The following is a 22,397-nucleotide window of genomic DNA, read 5'->3' as shown; positions in this document are numbered from 1 at the left end:
AAAATACAAAAAAATATTACCCAGGCATGGTGGCGGGTGCCTGTAGTCCCAGCTACTTGGGAGGCTGAGGCAGGAGAATGGCGTGAACCCGGGAGGGGGAGCTTGCAGTGAGCCGAGATCACACCACTGCACTCCAGCCTGGGCGACAGAGTGAGAACTCCATCTCAAAAAAACAAAACAAAACAAAACAAAACAAAAGAAATTTAAAACACTTCAAAATGAAAAAGTAAAAAACTATCTCACACAGTCCAGGTCACACAAAAAAGGTATTCTGAGAAAAATGTATAGACTTAAGTGCTCATCTTAGAAATGAAAAAAGGCTGTAAATGAATGAGCTAAGTATTCTTATTAAGATATTTAAAGGCTGGGTGTAGTGGCTCATGCCTGTAATCCCAGCATTTTGGGAGGCTGAGGAGGGCGGATCACCCGAGGTCAAGAGTTCGAGATCAGCCTGGCCAAATGGTGAAACCCTGTCTCTAACTAAAAACAGGAAAATTAGCTGGGTGTGGTGGCAGGCGCCTGTAATCCCAGCTACTCCGGAGGCTGAGGCAGGAGAATCGCTTGAACTGGGGAAGTGGAGTTTGCAGTGAGCTGAGATCGTTCCACTGTACTGCAGTCTGTGCAACAGACTGAGACTCCGTCTCAAAAAAAAAAAGATATTTGAAAAGGAACAATAGATAAACCCAAAGAAAGTAAAAGGAGATGAAAAAGAACAAAAATCAAAGGAATAGAAAGGAAAGGTACAAAAGAGATCAATTTAAAACACACAATCCCATATAACTACACATACCACTGAGATTAAACAGGTAAACACCACTGAGATTAAACAGGTAAACACCACTTCCCAAAAAGCCAGCAAGTAAATGGGAACCTCAGTCCTACAACTGCAAGTAACTGAATTCAGCTAACAACCAGAAAGAGCTTGGAAACATTCACCCCTAGAGCCTCCAGAAAGGAACATACACTATCCTCCCAGCATCTTGATTTCTGCCTTGTAAAACCTGGAGCTGAGAACCAGCTGAGTGAGACACACTGTATCAGATTTCTGGCCTATAGAACTATAAGATAATAAAAGGGTATTGTTTTAAAGCTGCTAAATTTGTGTCAATTTGTTATCTGAAAAACAGAAAATTAATACACCCTTCTCCTTGCTTACAATGGTTAAGTGCTGCTTCCCAGTGTTGGGGCCCAGAAAGCAATACCCCTGTCATCCAAAAGATAACCAGAAGCTACGTAGTAGAAAGGAGAGCTTTACTGGGAATATGGGTTTGCAACCAGCGAAGAAAAAGTCTCCAGTGCAAACCAAAGGTGCTCTGTCTTCAAACAGGGGAAGGATAGGTTGGGTTTTATGCCTCACAGGGCCCATATTACACAACAGAATCATATATATTCAGCAGATTTAGGGGAAAGCTATTCATATTTACGAGAAGAGCTGAGCGCACGTGCAATGGGTAAACATATGTGTAATATACATCCTATGCTCACTTTGGGGTGGGGCTTTAGCATTAAAATAAGGTGGAATTTGGCTCTTTACATCAAAAGATAAAAACTATACGATGCAAAGACAATTTGTGCCCAGCCTCTAAAGCTGGTTGAAACTCAAGGTCTATAAAGCTTATCAGAAAAGAATGTTTCTAAGGGCTGGGTACAGTGGTTCATGCCTGTAATCCCAGTACTTTGGAAGGCTGAGGCAGGCAGATCACCTGAGGTCAGGAGTTAAAGAACAGCCTGGCCAACATAGCGAAACCCCATCTCCACTAAAAATACAAAAATTACCCAGGCATAGTGGTCCGCACTGGAGGCTGAGGCTGGAGAATTTCTTGAACATGGGAGGTGGAGGTTGTAGTAAGCCAAGATTGTGCCACTGCACTCCAGCCTGGGTGACAGAGTGAGACTCTGTCTCAAAGAAGAAAAAAAAGAAAAGAAAAGAATGTTTCTAAGTTGGGAATTCTGTCCAGAGTTGTAGTAGTCTGGGCTGTAAATCAGAATTGTGATAATTTGTCTGAAAGCTCCTATTGTTAGAGAGTTTAATAAGAGTGATTTTTCTTGTAGCCATAGGAATTTAGAAATTTGCCACACCAGCAGGGCCCTGAACTTTCTACCGATAGGTAACTTTGTTTCCTTAACCTTAAGATCTGTCCTAGTTAATAAAGGGGCATCTATTTTGGTCTCTCAAACCACACCCCCAAAGACTGGCACTTAGACATGCTTAAAGGCCTTAGAAGCTGCCTCACAATCAAGATCCCTCTAACTTGTCGTGTCCCCCACCCCAGCGCAGAGAGGGGCTCTCTCTGGTATTTCCTTATCAGCCCAAAAAAGCTTCTTTCCAAAAGAAATGCAATTGTCTTAAACTCCCTTCCTAGGGATCTCATCAAATGATCAGGAAAGGTCGACTACATGAGAAGAAGCTGGAAGTCATGATCATTACTGCCCAGAAAGACTTCATCTATTCTTCCCAGGGCAGCTCCAACAGATTACCCAGGGGGCCTTCATCTGCATGGTAAGACAACCTGCAGCTTCACCTCTCACCTTCCCACAATGTCTGCCTCCCACCTAAATGATTTACTGGCCCTCAAAAGAACTGTCTACATTCTCCATTTCCCCACTTCCCTATAAAAAAAAGGGGGTGTATAAGCTTCTGTACTGCACTCAGTTCTCTGAGTACCATATCAAAAACGTAGTTCCTCCAGTCAGGTACGGTGTCTCATGCTGGTAATCCCAGCACTTTAGGAGGCAGGCTGATCACTTGAGCCCAGGAGTTCAAGACCAGCCTGGGCAACAAAGTAAGACCCTGTCTCTACAAAAAATTATATATATATAATGTGTGTGTGTATATATATATATATACACACATTAAAATTTTTCTCCTACTAATCACCTCTGCCCCCTCTTAAAAAGCAACCCCTCCTCCTCCTTAGCCTACTCAATATGAAGATGACAAGGATAAAGATCTTTATGATGATCCACTTCCACTCAATGAATAATAAACAGGTTTTCTCTTATGACTTTTTTTTTAAGACAGAGTCTTGCTCTTGTCGCCCAGGCTGGAGCTGCAATGGCGCAATTTCAGGCTCACTGCAACCTCTGCCTCCCAGGTTCAAGCGATTCTCCCGCCTCAGCCTCCTGAGTAGCTGGAATTACAGGCGCCTGCCACCACCACGAGCTAATTTTTGTATTTTTAGTAGAGACAGGGTTTTACCATGTTGGCCAGGCTGGCCTCAAACTCCTGACCTCAGGTGATCCACCCACCTCGGCCTCCCAAAGTGCTGGGATTACAGGTGTGAGCTACCACGCCCGGCCATGATTTTCTTAATAACACTTTGTTTTCTCTAGCTTTATTGTAAGAATACAGTGTTTAATACATATACAAAATATGTGTTTATAGACTATGTTACTGGTAGGACTTCTGGTACACAGTAGATTATTAATAGTTAAGTTTTGGGAGAGTAAAAAGTCGTATGTCAATTTTCAACTGTGCAAAGGGTCAGCACTACTAACCCCCATATTGTTCAATGGCCAAGTGTATTTAGTTTGATCTTGAGTCAAAAAAAAAATGTTTAAGCCTTTCCTTCTTAAGTCCTTGATGAGAAAAACCTTTAATTTTCAAGTCTATCTTAAAGAAGATAATGGAAGCCACAGACCTCCTAAGAAAAATGCAAATTCACAAAAAAAATTGCATAGAACTTTACGTAAGGTTTAGGACAACATGAAGCCGATACGCCTGCCTGTTGCAAGCTGGATTCTCTGAAAATGGACACTGAAGTAGTTTTGGGTATATGATGTTTATTAGCAGTCAATCCCTGTGAAAGAAATTCGGGGAGAGGCCGGGCGCAGTGGCTCACGCCTGTAATCCCAGCACTTTGGGAGGCCGAGGCGGGTGGATCACCTGAGGTCAGGAGTTCGAGACCAGCCTGGCCAACATGGTGAAACCTCATCTCTACTAAAAATACAAAAATTAGCCAGGGGTGGTAGCACCCACCTGTAATCCCAGCTACTCAGGGGACCAAGGCAGGAGAATTGCTTGAACTTGGGAGGCAGAGGTTGCAGTGAGCCAAGATCATGCCATCACACTCCAGCCTGGGGAACAAGAGCAAGACTTCATCTCAAAGAAAAAAAAAAAGAAGAAGAAGAGATTTGGGGAAGAAAGCCGAATTGGGCAGAGGGAAAAATCAAATTGCAATTCAGGCCCAACAAAGCCTCAAGCAACCTGGCAGATCTCTGGTGGTATATCACCTGTCAGAGTTGTCTCAGGCCTGAACAAAATGGCTGGGCCTTTAAACATGTCTTGCTTGATTGCAGGATAAGTGCTGCCCTGGAAAGGATGTGACCTTAAGCAAGGAGGCTCTCCGCAACTGAGGTAGAGCCTGAAGGAGCTGACAGCTTAAGGCAATTTTTTTTTTTTTTCTGGCTGTCCTCTGTAGGCCAGACAGCTGAAGGTTTTCTGATGACTGACCTCCCCACAACTGGGCCACAATTCTTCCTTGAAGGAGGATCAGGGCTGCACATCTCCATATCCACCACACTCAAACTTCACAACTCCTGTTTCAACCATTTTTAAATCCTCTCATCTCTTATTATTCACCCTTTCTCTTCTTTTCTACTTCTTCTAATTACACCAGTGTGCTTAAGGCAAAAGCCCAAGCATCTGCAGCAGAGAGGATCTGCAGTATAAGGACCTTGTGAGAGGTATACTATAGACCATGGGCTGACTGAAGTTGAACAGGGGTAGAAGGAGCCCCCACTCAGAGCAACAGGAAGCCCTACAGACTGAACTTTCTTTGTAAATTGCTGGCCAAAGCTATAAATCAGATAAGTTCATGTGAACAACTGAGAAATTAACAGCAAATTTCTGTAAACAGACTTGCCACCAAACCAGTTAAACACATATGTCTTATAATTTATCCATCACAATAAGGAGCAATACAATATCACTATTTGGAGGTTATAAAATTAAGCATTTATAATACTATCCTTTAATTTATAATCAGAGGTAGAAAATGAAGCATATTGGCTGTGGTGGCTCATGCCTGTAATCCCAGAACTTTGGGAGGCTGAGGCAGGAGGATTGCTTGCATCCAGGAGTTTGAGACCAGCCTGGGCAACATAGTGAGACCCCATCTCTACAAAAAGTCAAAAGTTAACCCGGCATGGTAGTGCGCGCCTGTAGTCCCAAACACTCAGGAAGCTGAGGTGGGAGGACTGCCTGAGCCCAGGAGGTTGACATGCAGGGAGCCATGATTATGCCACTGCACTCAGCCTAGATGACAGAGTGAGACCCTGTCTCAAAAAAAAAAAGAGAGCAAGAACATATCTGTAATGTTTTCATCACACAGTATTTAAATAAATTAAATCTACATTTTCAAAGAAATAGATGAGAATAAACAGAAATGAGGAGTAAAAAAATTTCTCACATCCCTTACAAGGAAAATTAATTTTATATATAACATTAAGTAATGCAAAATATATTAGCAACACTTCCCTTTTATGCAAATAACTACACATATTTTGACTCAGTCACATTAAAGACAGTAAACAAATCATCTACACATCATAACATAAGTATATTCAGAATAATTAAGGTTTCCCTACATGTTAAATCCCTGCAATTAATTTACTATCAATGGGGTTTGCAGTACAGTTGGTTTCTACTCAGAAAAAAACTAAGTATTTATTTGCTTGACATATCAATGGAAAGTTCAAGCTAATATGAAAATATGAAGCAGCTTTGTCATATCAAATAATTACATTTTTGTAAGTACTATTAAAGAAAAAAGATATACTTAAAAACTGCCTTAAAATATACCTGAATATATACTATGCAGCCATAAAAAATGATGAGTTCATGTCCTTTATAGGGACATGGATGAAATTGGAAATCATCATTCTCAGTAAACTATCACAAGGACAAAAAACCAAACACCGCATGTTCTCACTCATAGATGGGAATTGAACAATGAGAACACATGGACACAGGAAGGGGAACATCACACTCTGGGGACTGTTGTGGGGTGGGGGGAGGGGGGAGGGATAGTCATTAGGAGATATACTAATGCTAAATGATGAGTTAATGGGTGCAGCACACCAGCATGGCACATGTATACATGTGTAACTAACCCGCACATTGTGCACATGTACCCTAAAACTTAAAGTATAATAATAATAAGAAAAAACAACAACAACAACAAAAATATATATATACCTGAATATAAATGTAAAGTAGACATACTTTTAATCCCTAAGCATAAAAATGTAAATAAGTTAAATGCTTAATCAACAAGGTTAGAGCAAAAATTCCAACATTAGAACTGACAATTATTGCCAAATATTAATCAAGGTCTGTCCTATCTCCAAGTTTCAGCTGAATAACTGTCAATTTGGGGGTATCAAAAACCCCCACAACTTGATACTAAGGTGAATATATGTTATACTAAGAAAAATTCTCAATACAGAAGCCTCTGTTTATAAGTAGGTTAAGTTTTATTTGTTCTTTAATCTAAAGTGACCATCCCTATATATATTCCTGCCAAATAGAAGACTACATTACCGCTATATGCATTCTATTAAGACATTTTTCTCCAAAATATTCCAGTTTTGTCTACACTAAAAATTGGTTGTGAGAAATAATTCCTCTCTTCTTAATGATCTATGTACAAATGCCGTAAAAAACTTTTTAGCAGCTATGGAATCCAAATTGCTGCCTTGCCACTTACTTGGACATTATCTGGATTTAAAGGGCCTTAAGCCTACAGAACTATCTGGCTATGAAAAGTCTGATCAGCAGGACCTATAATGTTTTAGCCTTTAAATTCTCAAACTCTTAGTCTTTTAATAAAAGATCAATAGACATCTAATATTGATGCCCAGACTCTACTGTAAATTCAAAAGCATTTCTACCAATGTCTCCTACTGTACTTACGTTCAATTGCTAAGGCCAGCAGTTCTCAAAGCATAGTCTAAGGACTACAAGGGTCCCACAAAATCTTTTCAGGGAACCAACAAGGTTAAAACTATTTGCTTTGCTGGGTGCAGTGGCTCACACCTGTAATCCTAGCTCTTTGGGAGGCCGAGGTGGAACAATGGCTTGAGACCAGGAGTTCTGGATCAGTTCAATATATTACAACAGATGGCAGGCAGAAGCAGATGAAAATCCAGCTGTCTTCTACTAAGTCAGACATTAAAGAGATTTGCAAAAAGCAATACCATTCTTTTAACTATTTTTTTCTGGTTTAGAAAATATCATTATTTTCCAGAAAAATGTGTTTATGCTAGCAAATACTGGGTTTATTACAGTTATCTTTAAATGTATTGAATATTTTCAACCGTTTCCATTTTAATTTCTAATATTGTAATTATCAATAGATATAACCCACTAAGCAATAGCACTTTGGGGCATAGGCACATTACTTTTCACATGTTTAATCACTTGCTTTATTCTTCAAAATAACTCCTATTGTTGAACAAACCAATTCTTCACCATTTAGTTTATTTAAAACTTTCTCTGCTTTTAATTACCATCGGACTAATATCTCTCCCTATTAACATGTCACATTCTTATCACTTTTATTTATTTATTTATTTTTTTGAAATGAAGTCTGGCTGTGTTGCCCAGGCTGGAGTGGAGTGGCATGACCTTGGCTCACTGCAATTTCCACCTCCTGGGTTCAAGCGATTCTCCTGCCTCAGCCTCCCGAGTAGCTGGGACTACTGGCACGTGCCACCACGCCCAGCTAATTTTTTGTATTTTTAGTAGACACAGGGTTTCCCCATGTTGGCCAGGCTGGTCTTGAACTCCTGAGCTCAAGTGATCCACCTGCCTTAGCCTCCCAAAGTGCTGGGATTACAAAAGATATACTTGAACTCCTGAGCTCAAGTGATCTGCCTGCCTTGGCCTCCCAAAGTGCTGGGATTACAGTGAGCCACCATACCTGGCACATTCTTATCACTTTTACACCTATATAACACAATATTCTTAAAAATAAATAGCAACTAAAGCACAAATACAACAAACATAGTACAGAATAATAAACACAATAACCAACCATAAAATGACCAGCCAGGTCAGTATACACTATTTTTGGTCTCATGTGGTTTGTGTCTATAAAATATGGTGAAAATTAGTAAAAATAAGTTCTTTATATGTTACACTGATACTTCTCAAATCTGAATAAAAGACACCAGTATAAAGCTGCTTGTAGCTAACCAGAGTTAAATATGCCATAAGTCAAATAATGATGTATCACTATATTATAAGGAAATGATTAGTTCTATTCCATCACTATCAAGAGTTTCATATGTATTGTTAGTTATTGGAAATGTAGGTTACTAAATCTCTAGTGTTCAAACAGTTTAAAAACAATTAAGGAGGCTCTTTTCTTGAGACTACACACGCATTAACCCAAATAGATTATAAGAGTGTTATAGTTGGTGGGGAAAAAAATTATGATAAATACAAGCAATATTTTCTAATAAAGATGAATGTTAATAGAAAAATTAATGTTACATTTAAATATAATTTGAATATTGTGTACAACAATGAAGCACTTTAATTAAAAAACAAGTTTAAGCCATACTTAATCATTCATCTTTCTCCCTTGCTGCCAACTTCCTTTTATTCTTCAAACACATGAAGCAGTTGATATTATTTCCCCAAACAATAAAACCATTTATCATAATTTCACTACACTTACTGCTACTCCTTAAAGATAATTTATATTTCCCCACATAGATTAATTGTAAAAATCTTACAGAAGCTAAATCTGCACATTAAGTACTAGGATAAAAATACTGGCAAGTCATGAATTGGACAATATCTACCAACTGTCATTTTCAGCACTGAAAGCGGTAATCAATAAATCAAACTGATAATCTGAAAATTGATCATTCTACAACATCTGTGATACTTACAGATTATAGGCTAATTTAAAACATATAGCAAAGACTGATAAAATCCAAACATGTCTGGGTAATAACCATGCTTACAAGTGGACTAACATTTCTGTAATATCTAATATATGCCAGGCACTAGGCTAGGTATTTCACACACATTATCTTATTTTATCATCACCATAACTATATCAATAGTTGTATCAACAATTTTGCCAGTGAGGAAATGGACTCTGAGAAGTCACACAACTAATAAGTAGCACAAATGAGATTAAAGTAAAAACAAATTCTAGTGAAATAAAATCAATAGTGTAAGAACAGCTTAGCCAAAAAAAAAAAAAAGTTTTTCATGTGTTGGGGGGTGTTGCTGTTTCTTAAAGATATGGTGACTTGCTCTGTTGCTTAGGCTGGAGTGCAGTGGCGCAATCGAGCTGCAGCCTCGAACTCCTGGGCTCAAGCAATCCTCCTGCCTCAGTCTCCTGGGTAGCTAGAACTACAGGTTCATGCCACTATCTCTGGCTAACTTTTAAATATTTTGTAGAAATGGGATCTCATTATGCTGCCCAGAGCGGTCTCAAACTCCTGGCTTCAAGTGAACCTCCCACCACAGCCTCCCAAAGTGCTGGGATTACAGGTGTGAGCCACCATACCTGGCAAAGAAAAACAGCTTTAAGATGACTTCCTTAAAGAAATAAGTGCAATTTTACAACCATTCTTTATTTCCCTAATAAGATCCAAATTTTCTTTGGGGAATCATCCCTTCAACACTCTTAATCCATAAATTTCCAGCAGTGTTAACTCTATCTCCAGTTGCAGAGTAGATATGGAACCCAAACAAGCCAAAGAGGCCTAATATGACATAATCCTACACCTGTTTTTAGAGCCACTAAAACAGACAGACAGACACACACACACACACACACACACACACACACACACACAAATAAGGATATAAGCCAATAGCTGATGGCAGTACCCTACCTCTAGAAGATGAGGTGAAGAGGGTCCAAATAAAATTATTTGAACCTCTGCATCAAGCTTCACCTAAAATCAGCCATACCAACATCTTTTTAGATATGTGATCCAATAATTTCCATTTACTTAAGCCAGTATGAGTTAGGGTTTCTGTCACCTGCACGATACACATATCAACAAAAATTTAATGGTGTAACTCATCTCCAGAAATCAAATAATGCACTTAATTATTCCCAATCTGGAATCTTAAAAAAAAATGTAACAGGAATCAAGGAATCATCTTCAATACAGTCATTCCTCAGTATCTTTGAGGGATCCAGGACCCAACTTGGATACCAAAATGCACACATACTAAAGTACCACAGTTGGCCCTGTTGAACCCATAGATCCAAAAAGTTGGCCCTTCTCTCCATATACACAACTTTCACATTCCTTGAATACTGTATTTTCCATCCATTTTTGCTTGTAGATGCCAAACCAACCCATATAGAGGGCCAACTGTATTTACTGGAAAAAAACTAATATAAGTAGGTGCATGCAGTTCAAACCTGTGCTGTTTGAGGGTCAACTGTATTTGCATATAACCTGCATACATCCTCCCCAAACTTTAAATCATCTCTAGATTACTAACAATATCTAATACAATGGAAATGTATGTAAACTTTTGTCATATTGTTTAGGGAATATTGACAAGGAAAAATGTGTACATGCTCTGTACACAGGCAATTTCTTTTTCCCTAATATTTTCTTTCCACGGTTTAATCCACCAATGTGGAACCCATGGATATGTATTTCAAAAAAATTCAGTGGAATTGTACATTGACCTAGGAAAAGGCCACTAAAGCTTATTAAAACACCAAGTTCCTTCTGATTATATAATTTCAATATGAAAATTTCAATTATCTTTTTTAATATGAATTTTAAATGAAAATACCTTTTTATATACAACCTTTAAAATTAGAAAGAAATGAACTATTACTTTTAAAACACAGTTTATTTGGTGGACAAACTTCTTTACAATGCAAATTCCAGAAAATTTTTCAAAATGATCACTGGAGAAGAAAATATCAAGAACTATAATATACTATGGGTTATACTCAATAAGACAATTCGCTCATTTACTATACAAGCAGTGCCTTTTTTTTTCTTCTTTTTTTCTTTTTTTTGAAGCAGAGTCCTGCTCTGTCACCCAGGCTGGAGTGCAGTGGCGCGATCTCCGATCACAGCAACCTCTCCTTCCCCGGTTCAAGCAATTCTCTGCCTCAGCCTCCTGAGTAGCTGGGATTACAGGTGCCCGCCACCACGCCAGGCTAATTTTTGTATTTTTAGTAGAGACGGGGTTTCATCATGTTGGCCGGGCTGGTCTTGAATTGCTGACCTCGTGATCCACCCACCTCGGCCTCCCAAGGTGCTGAGATTACAGGCGTGAGCCACTGTGCCCGGCCGCCTTTCGATCTTTCTATTCTGAGGTTACTGAGCCTCCAGAGACTTCAAATAAGCAGTCTAAGACTAATGGCACCACCTAGCGTCCTGTACTGGTCACTATCTGACTCACTGTCTTCTACTTCCTTTTGCTGCTGGACATAGGCTAGTCTTCTTCTATTGCTGTTTTTCTTTAGTAATCCTTCCAAAAGTCATTTATGTCTCATTTATATATACATACACATCAACACATCATCCTTAAGTCTCCTTCTCTCATCCCTCTCTCTGCAATTGTCCCATTACTTTAGGAACAACTATTTAGTATGCCCTTGATCTTTCCCAGGTACTTGGTCCTTAACCTATATTATCATCACAAGCACTTTATAAACCTAATAGAACCTCTACTCACATGCCCTAGATCCCCTAAATCTCAGATAATTGAACAGGTACTGCAAATCTAAAACCAATTTGCCTGATTACTACCCATATGACCCATATACTTTTTTAAAAAAATATTTTCATACAATGGCCAAACTACAAATCCAATTTATAAAAATTGGTGGTAAATGAATCAGTTATATCTCAAAAGAAAACAAATGGCATTAAAAGTGAAAATTAGATTTTAAGTGAGGCTCAATTCACCACTTGAAAGTGTATAGAAGTTCTGACTTTGATAAAGTGATTGTTTTTCACTCTTTTGTAATTAAGTTGCGCTTTTCTCAAATATCATCACAGAAAAAAATGTTATTGTTCACATCTGCTGGTTATAATATCATTTTCTAGGCCAGGCACGGTGGCTCACGCCTGTAATCTCAGCCAGCACTTTTGGAGGCCAAGGCAGGTGGATCACGAGGTCAGGAGATTGAGACCATCTTGGCCAACATGGTGAAACCCCGTCTCTACTAAAATAAAAACAATTAGCTGGGCGTGGTGGTGCGCACCTGTAGTCCTAGCTACTCAGGAGGCTGAAGCAGGGGAATCGCTTGAACCCAGGAAGCAGAGGTTGCAGTGAGCTGAGATTGTACCACTGCACTCCAGCCTGGTGACAGAGCAAGACTCCGTCTCAAAAAAAAAAAAAAATTGTAGTATTTTATATTATAAATTCCAATATTATAGCTTATCATCAGCTAAATCAATTTTGGGAAGAGGGCTTGGACCTAAATTATCACTGTTATTTTCATTTTAAGAAAATTTGGCCAGGTGTGGTTGCTCACAACTGTAATCCCAGCACTTTGGAAAGCCAAGGCAGGAGAATCATTTGATGTTCAAGACCAGTCTACCCAACAAAGCAAGACCCTGTCTCTACAAAAAATAAAGAAAAAAATAGGTACTTTGACAAAAAGGAAAATTCAACTGAAACATTGGTATAGGGACAAATAGACCAATGGAACAGAATTAGAACCCAGAAATTGACCCCCATGCAAACAAAAAACTATTAAGGCAATGAAGTTTTCAGAAAATTATACAAAGATAATTGGTTATCCATATGCAAAAAAACTCAAGTCTCCAACTCTACCTCACACCATACACAAAAATTACATACTACCAGATGAAAGATCTACCTCTGCAAAGCACATATGGGAAACTCTGACCTTAGAGTAGGAAGTAATTTCTTAAATAAGGCATAAGAAGATAAAGCATTTTTAAAAATTGATAATGTGATTACATTTCATTTTAAAACTTGTGTGAGGCAAAAGACACCACAAAATGAAAGACAAGTCACATACTAGGCACAGATATATGGCAAATATAATCAAAGAATTTGTATCCATAAAATACAAAAAAAACTCATGCAAATCAGTAATTTAAAATATCTCAAAAGAAAAAATGAGTAAAGGACATTAAGAGGCAATCACAAGATGAGAACTGTAAAAGGTAAACACATGTATAAGAAAAAAGGCTCAGCCTCACTATATATTTTCAAAATTCAATTAAAACCACAATGAGATACAGTTCACACCTACAAAACAGAAATTAGAATTTCTGTTTATACCAATTCTTAGCAAGACAATTGAGAAAGGGAATGCTCAGATACCACTGGAAAGAACAACTCAGCAACATCTACTGAAGTGCAACATGTGCAAGCCCAGTGACACAACAATTCCACACACAGGTATAAACCCCAAGGAGCACTAGCCTATAAAACTTTTTATGATAATGGAATGATTCCATATCCACAATATCCAATACATTACTCACTAGTTACATGTGGCTATTAAACACTTTAAATGTTGCTAGTGTAACTGAGGAACTGAGTTAATTTTAATTAATTGAAATTTAAACATCCACATATTTAAAATACAGTCCTCAAGAATCTTTCACATATGCATAAACAGATCAGTACAAGAACCTTAAACACAGTAGTGTTTCTAATACTGAAAAACCTGTAATTCCTCAACCAAAGAATAAATTGTGATGTATTCATACAAGTCTATACAGGTGAAAATAAATTACATATAAATTACGTGCATTAACAGGGAAAAATCTAAAAATTCAATGTTACACGAAAAAGCGAGCCGAAGGAGAGGCACTGTAAAATATGTTTTAGAACACGCAAATCAATACTTCATATTGCTTATGAATATATACACATATATTTTAAGCACTAAGAAAAGCATTACAGCTAAAAACAAAACTGGAACACCAGTGAACTTTGAAATAAGACAGAAAATGGGCTGAAGACAGGTATACAGAGAACCCCAGATGTACTTGTAATGTATTCCCCTTTTACCATTTGGGTGGAAGACTCTGCCCACCCAAATCTTCAACAAATCTAAGTGTTGACAGATTGGGTACATGGGTGTTTGTTTTAGTACTGCTAGTTTGTTCTACATAAAGTATTTCATAAGGAAAAACTAAAAGTAAGAAAATTCATGCTACAAACTGTAGAACATCACTAGCAAGTTTGAGAGGTTCCTGTTTATTCTTTAATTTCTCTCCATCTCACACAGCTTACTAACATCCATCACTAAGTACAATGAAATCAAATTTGTGAAGGCCTAAAACACCCAACCGTATTTTCATGATGAAGCATAGCCTGTCACTAAAAATGTTTTCTATTTCCTAGTAAAAGCAGTAAAAAGCAAAGTTTCTCTTTTTCTTATGGCTTTCGACATCAAATTCAATTCCCCTGTGCAGTATATGTGGAAATCAAATATTTGGGGTGGGAGACGAGGCAGGGAGAAAACTTTGCTATTACCTGTGGGATAATTCATGGATTCCTAAACCAGGCCATTTAGCCATGAGGTCAATATAACATATGTTTTAAATAACATTTAATCTACTCTGCTGAACTCTTTAGTAAATGTTTATGTTTTGCAACAATTGAAGAATTCAGAGGATTACATATTAGGTATTTCTGCCACAACAAGACACTCTGTTCTCTCCTAATATAAAAAATCAAAAGCTAGTAAATGTATTCATGAAAACATAAACAAGCAAGCATCACAGTCCATTCAAAGAAAGCCTGTCTCCAAAAGTTTTCTTGAGTTAGTCAATATTACTATTGAAAAGCACAAATACATGTTTTATCAATTACACTCCTACTTATCCCTAGAATTGTAAATCCCATGACAGCAAGTACAGTATCACCTTTGTATTCCCAAAGAGTATCACAACATGACTGAATGAATAAATGAATACATGAATGAAGCTACCTGTTTATTCATCAGTATGAAATGGGTTCTATGTTGGTTTGTTGTGCTTCATGACTAAGACAAAAATAATATGAAAAACTAGAAATAAACATGCTTGATAAAGCCATTCTAACTCAATATTGAGGTATCACACCAGAATCTGAAGTTCAGGTAGGAGAATCTCAAAGCTTCTTCCTCTCCTTGCCTTCCCTGCCCCACCCTCTACCTCTCAGAGAAAGTAATAAGATAAAAGCCATGTATATCTTACAGAAGAACTGGCACAATTATATAAAAGTACATGCAAAAAAGATAATATATGTGAGGAGTTTTTTTGTTTTTTTTTTTTTTTTTGAGATGAAGTCTCACTCTTGTCATCCAGGCTGGAGTGCAATGGCGTGATCACAGCAACCTCTGCCTCCCAGGTTCAAGCGATTCTCCTGCCTGAGCCTCCCACGTGGCTGGGATTTACAGGCACCTGCCACCATACCCAGCTAATTTTTGTACTTTTAGTAGACACAGGGTTTCGCCATGTTGGCCAGGCTGGTCTTGAACTCCTGACCTCAGGTGATCCACACACCTCGGCCTCCCAAAGCACTGGGATTACAGGTGTGAGCCACCACACCCGGCCCATGAGTGTTTTTTGTGGTGGAAAACTTGAAAAATCCAGTGTCTATTAATAGAAAACTGGCTAATAAAAATAACTCATAGCTCTAAAGAAAATAGTAGAGAAGAAATTTCAAAAACCTGCATGAATGGCAGGAAGAACATTTAAGTCTCTGGACTATAAGGGCCCATTACATGCTCAGAACAATGAAAAAAAAAAGCCATAATAAGAAAAATCACATTGAGAAATGCCAGAATACCAGGAGGAAAGAGGAGATTCTAAGAATGTCCAAAGAGAAAAAAATAGGTCACATATAAAGAATCAGCAATCAGTGTGGCATCAAACTTCACATAGGAAACACTGGTTGCTAATGGAGCAAGGCCTTCAAGTTTCTGAGGAATAATTATTTTCAATCTGCATTTCCAGACTTAATTGAAATACCAACCTATGTAAAGGTAGAATAAAGACATTTTAGACCTACATGTATGGAAAAATTTTATTTCTCACATATTCTTTTCTCAGGAAGCTCTGGAGAATGTGCTTGAGCAAAACAAGGGCATAAACTAATAAGACTAAAAACAATCAAAAAGCAAATTGTCCCCCAAAAGAGCAACAAAGGGAAGTCCCAGGATCAGAGCTGAAAAGAGTAAGACAACTCCTTGGTAAAGTAGAATAGAGGGCTGAAGGAGAGAAACTTCCAGGAAAAAAAATTATTGAGTTTCGAACCTATGATAAACAAAGAAAAATTAATGGGAGGTGCTGGAGAGATCTGCTGAAACACTGAGGGGGGAGATTAGCAAATTAGCCAATAGGAAACCAAGCAAATGAATAAACAAGGCTATAAATAATGTGGTGGGAAAGGGGGACCAAATATTTGTTTAAGCAAATGAATGTAATGTGCTATATTACAGCACTCAATACTTACATAGTCACTATAATATAAATAACGATTATAGACTGCTTATAGATTGAACCAAAATTATTATATAACTTTTCAGAACTGGGTGCACAGGTATATAATATGATCTGTATCCCAGGCCCCAATAAAAAGGTCAATAGATAACATCTAAAATTGGTTAATCAGAAAAGCTGAATACACATATTATTTAGGAATAAGCTAGTATCAGAAAGAACAAACTAACAGTATTATAAGTTGCCGCTTCTGGAGAACCCAGGGTAGGATAGGAGACTGTTATATTTTATTGTAAACTTTTGGCACTAATCAGTTTTTATCCACATGTGAGAATTACCTTAACACAAACAAGTTCTTAGCATTATCAACTTCGATGATATTTAAATTAATGGAAGAAACAGTAAGCAGGGAACACAGTTAACAAAACATAAAATATAAATTTACCTGAATTATTTGAAGTTTAAAAATAACCAATTTAGGAACGAAAACAGTGATCACAACTTGGAAGGATGGAGAAAAGGTAGAAGTGGTGTGAGATAAAGAGTCACCTAATCACAGAACACAGAAGAGCAAAAGCATTGAGAAATAATTTCTAAGGCTGGGCACAGTGGCTCACGCCTATAATCACAGGCCAAGGCAGGAGGATCACTTGAGGCCAGGCATTCAAGGGACAACACAGCAAAACCCTGTTTCTACAAAAAAATTAAAAAATTAGCTGGGTGGAGTGGTGCATGCCTGTAGTCCCAGCTGCACAGGAAGCTGAGGCAGGAGGATGGCTTGAGCCCAGGAGTTCAAGGCTTCAGTGAGCTGTGATCACACCAATGTACTCCAACCTGGTGAGAGGGCAAGAACTTGTCTCTAATTTAAAAAGCAAAACAAACAAACAAACAAAAGAATCTATAATTCTACTACAGGTTGAGACAACCACAATAAGCACTGAAAACAGAATCAGTTACAAGTGGCTGATTTTGGGGGGAGTGGGAACAGAGAAACATAGGGCAAGATTTTTCTTGTTTTTCATTATTAGACAGACCATCTGTTCTATTTGATTGTTAACCATGTACACATATTACCTTTGAAGGTTTTTTTTTTTAAATGGCCAAAGCTATAATGGGTCAGAGTCCTAGGGGTTCCCTGAAACTTGTTACTAAAACTCTCTCAAAAGGGTAAAATGCACTTAACATACATAGTCTTCAAAACTTAGAATATCCCTATCTAGAACATTCTTATAAAGGAATACAAGACGAGTGAGCAAAGAATTACTAATTTATTGGAAAGAAAGCTGAGCAGGACAAGAAGTGTTTCCAATAATATGAACATGTATAGAAAGAATGAGTAATGAAATTCAATCTGAGTCATTTAATTCAATGAGCAGATAATTGAGAAAAATGGGCCGGGCAGGGTGGCTCACGCCTGTAATCCTAGCACTTTGGGAGGCGAAGGCAGACGGATCACGAGGTCAGGAGATCGAGACCATCCTGGCTAACATGGTGAAACCCCGTCTCTACTAAAAATACAAAAAAAATAGCCAGGCATGGTGGCGGGTGCCTGTAGTCCCAGCTACTTGGGAGGCTGAGGCAGGAGAATGGCATGAACCCAGGAGGTGGAGCTTGCGGTGAGCCGAGATCGCGCCACTGCACTCCAGCCTGGGTGACAGAGCAAGACTCCGTCTCAAAAAAAAAAAAAAAAAAGGAAAAGAAAAATGATTACATCGAGTTTATAACACATCCCCAAGAATTCTAAGGCAAATTTGTCACCACCTCAATCACAGAAAACAAAGATCATTTTGCTAAAGATTTTTGAGTTAATTATATCTAATCATCTTATTTAACATAATTCTGAAAAAAATACATTTGTGCACATGCTTACATGTTCAAAACAAACTACTAGTAAATATTCTATATGCCAGGCACAGTGGCTCACACCTGTAATCCCAACACTTTGGGAGGCTGAGGCAGGCAGATCACTTGAGGCCAGGAGTTCGAAATCAGCCTGGCCAACATGGCGAAACCTCTTCTCTACTAAAAATACAAAAATTAGCTAGGCCACATGCCTGTAATCCCAGCTACTTGGGAGGCTAAGGCACGAGAATCGCTTGAACCCAGGATGGAGAGGTTGCAATGAGCCGAGATCATGCCACTGCACTCCAGCCTGGGCGACACAGGGAGACTCCGTCTCAAAAAAAAAAAAAAAAAAAAAACACAAAAACAAACAACAACAACAAAAAAGATATTCACTCAAGGAATTCTTATATTATGTATACGTTAAACAATCATGTTACAGAAAACAACCCATTTAGTAACATGAATAACAATTTAAAGAAAAAGGTAGAGCACAAAACTATTATGCTATTAACATCTAAAGATATTATATAATCACAGCTTCAGCCCATGGCACTCAACAGTAAACATAACAGCTACATTCCTTCATTTTTAGCAAAGAATCTTTGATTTTTATCAGAATTGATATGTGAATTACTAGATTATGACCCTTCATTTTTTTCCCAGCTAAATAAAATGCTTCAATTTTGATTACTTCTAAATCTGTTGTATTAAGTCTAAAACTGATTAATGATGTACCGTATCCTGCTAAGTAGAATTAAATTAGTGTATAATTGATTAGTGTATAATTGAAGCAGTTGTAGATTTACCAACTTTAATTAAGGTGGCTTATTACAGATAATTTATACTATAAGAGAGAAAATAGAAGCAACAAGTTCATCAAAACTTTAAATTAAGATCAAAGATACAATATTAAAGATTAGAAAAAAGGCTATAGGCTAATACTGAGTACTTTGAAAGTAAATCATCTTAGTACAAATCCTTTTAGAGGAGAAAACCAATTATTAATATTGACCTTTTAGGCTAGATTTTCCAAGAAATTACACTATTAGTGGTCATTTACTATAGTAAGTGATGCCAACTTATGTAAGCAAATAAAAGAATACATCTAATAATATTTTGTCTACTTACAACACTAAACTACACTAAAAAAATACTTAAATATTTCTCATAACTCCTTTAAAAAGGTATTCAAGCAAGAGGAAAAGCTCATAATTCTCACTATAAAAATAAATAAAAACTAATTTATTAAGAAGGAAGCAAGTGAGGAAAAAGAACATTTCTGAAACAAAACACAGAAGTAGTGTCTGCAGTTCTCTCAATACCCTTGTGGGTGGTAACTACAGCCCAGAAACTTTTACACATAAATTGCTAACTCCCCTGAGTTTAAAGCCATGGTAATTAGGCTCATTATCTTACATGTTAATGACACAGAGACAATAAGTTTGCAGTGAATAATTCATAAACTATCAGCTCTCACTGTAATGTTCATTGCTAATCGTTTATTTACAGTACAAGTTACACTGCATTTTTTTCTATAGTTTAAATTTATTGCCTAAACAGAAATCATTTCATGTCAAAATCTAATTTACTATCAATAAATAATAATTTCAAGCATATATTGGCTTGTATAGTTGTATAATTTTTACTCATTATTCATAGTTATGATAATCAATAAACCACCATAAGAATGTCATATAGAAAGACTAAAGTATCTATAGATTATGTATAGATGATTATTCTAAATTAAATTTCAAAAACAATATGCTCAATTGATATAAAATTATAAATTGCTTTATTAACTCATATTTTTCATTTAAGTATTAATATCACCACACTCACTTTAAAACATACATATAGATTATTATGAAACTTTGAATATCAAAGTACCATTTAGATTTCCTTATTATGCAAATACTGACTATAAAATACAGTTGACCCTTGAATGAAGTGGGTTTGAACTGCGCAAGTCCACCTACAGGCTGAAATTTTTCAACCAAATGTGGATTGAAAATACAGAATTCACAGGATACGAAACTTGCGCATACAGAGAGCCAACTTTTCCTTTATGTAGGTTTCACAGCACCCACTGTGGGACTTAACATATTTGTAGACTTGGGTCCTGGAACCACCCGCCCATGTATACTGAAGGATGACTGTAATATCATGTAAAATATAAAGTTCAGTAACCTATAAAATTGCAGTTGTCTTCAATTTTTACCCATTTTTGTAATGGATTTAATATCACACTTTTATTTAACAAATTAAAGATAAGTCAATTTTAGTCTCTTTCAAAATGACTCTTAGTTGCAGTAACTCATTTTGGTTTACACATATTATGAGAACTTTTATGTTACTATGTTACCTAAGTTATTGTGCTTTCAAAAATTTCTCTAAATCAGAGAGGTAAAAAATTTTCTATAAATGTCTGTACTTCTACAATGATTCCTTCAAAAATACTGTTTTGATATATGGTTGCATCAATAAAAACACGTTAGGTTCATGTACCATTTATCAGGTAAGAACTGCAAAATATCAGTGGCTTAAAACAATAAGGTCATTTTCTTGCTTACACTAGCTGTTCATCATAAGTCATTTGAGGACTCCACCCCACATCTTTTCATCTCAGTACCCAAGATGATGGAGCAATCACCATCTCACATTTTACCAGTTATCATGGTAAATGGAAAGAGTAGTCTGGACAGTCTTGCACTGGTAATTAAATGCTCTGGCCTGTAAAAACATTATTTTACTTCTGCTCACAACTAAGCATAATTATCTGAGAAAGTTTACCCTTCAAAAAGTTTAAATCTTTACAATTTCAAAAAAAAAATGTTTACCTCACTAAGAAGGCCATGAAGATAGGTTACATAATGTTCACTAAAGACGAAGAGCATTCCAGGTTCCTTTTTGTATTAAATGACTATCAAATCATAACAATCAGTTCTTGCCAAATCTGCTAAACATATAACCAGGATAATGTTAAGTACTCTTTCAAAACTGCAAATTTGACCACATCACTTGCTTAAAATCCTCTAATCTTCTCAGCATGGCGCTCCATGAAATGATCCCTGACTGCCTTTCTGTCAACTCTGAATACTCAATAAAATTTACAAAATGCTCCAAGGGAGACAAAACTAATAAATATGCTGCACGCAGGCTTTCCTGCCTTTTCACATGTCAGAATGCTTTCTCTGCCACCTCCACTTGAAAGCTTCCTCTTCCTTCAACTAAGCTTAAGCCTATCGCCACTGTGAAGCTTTTCTTGACTCTGATTACAACACCCAAAGGATTTTGTACTCCCTCAACACTGATTCCAGATCTGCACTGTGACTGTTCGTTGACTACCCAGTTATGAGCTTCTCAAAGGCAGACACTATTATTTACAAATATGAGTCCCTGGTATGAGACATTTAGTGGCTAACAAATGTCTAGAAAATGACTAAAGTTCCACAGTGCCAAAGAATGGTCTTAAAGAACAGCAGTATGTTTTAGAAATGAAGAATACCTGTTCTGACTGTCCATGGAGAGATAACTGCAAAAGTAAGTTTGCTTAACAAATTCCTTTTAGTATCTAAATGCTAGAGCTAATTTTGTTGGTGGCAATTCTAATAAATTAACTTAAAGTTATAGGACATTGAACTAATTTTTCTTTCATTCATTCCCCAGACTTTTATTTATTCAACTCAGATGTACCAAATGCCAGGATCTATGAGAAATTCTAAGAATGGCATTCATGTTAGTGGAGCTGTTGTCATCATTATACATATTGGACTGTCAAATTATGCCCCCAGTTAATTGACAAGATAGACTCCTTGTGGCTCAAAGGTAAAAGCAGAACCAAGAGGCAATGACAGGGTAAGGGAGCAATTATACCCTGTGTCCTTAAAAGTGTTGCAAAACCTGTTTTTCTGCCACCAAGTCAAAGAACAGTTCCTTTTGGTGATCATTTGGAAATTCCCCAAATGATCACCAAAAGACCACCTGGTGCCAACTGACCAACCACCTGGAAACAACCAACTAAGACACACTGGTGATTTGGGGATTAAAGGTCATCTAATCAAGACTTTATTCCTTACTTCCTTGACCCCACCTCCCCTGTCCTACAATTTTTGCCTTTATAA

The 22,397-nt window shown here is 37.3% G+C and overlaps 1 protein-coding gene across 13 annotated transcripts in view; it reads right to left on the bottom strand.

Moving 5' to 3' along the window:
* Positions 1-22,397, bottom strand: part of ADK (adenosine kinase) — a 558,070-nt gene that overhangs the window by 431,711 nt on the left and 103,962 nt on the right. The window lies entirely within an intron of this gene.

Source organism: Homo sapiens, chromosome 10 (genome assembly GCF_000001405.40).
Source record: "Homo sapiens chromosome 10, GRCh38.p14 Primary Assembly".
In the NCBI taxonomy this organism is placed as follows: domain Eukaryota; kingdom Metazoa; phylum Chordata; class Mammalia; order Primates; family Hominidae; genus Homo; species Homo sapiens.
This window is presented reverse-complemented; position numbering and strand designations above follow the sequence as displayed.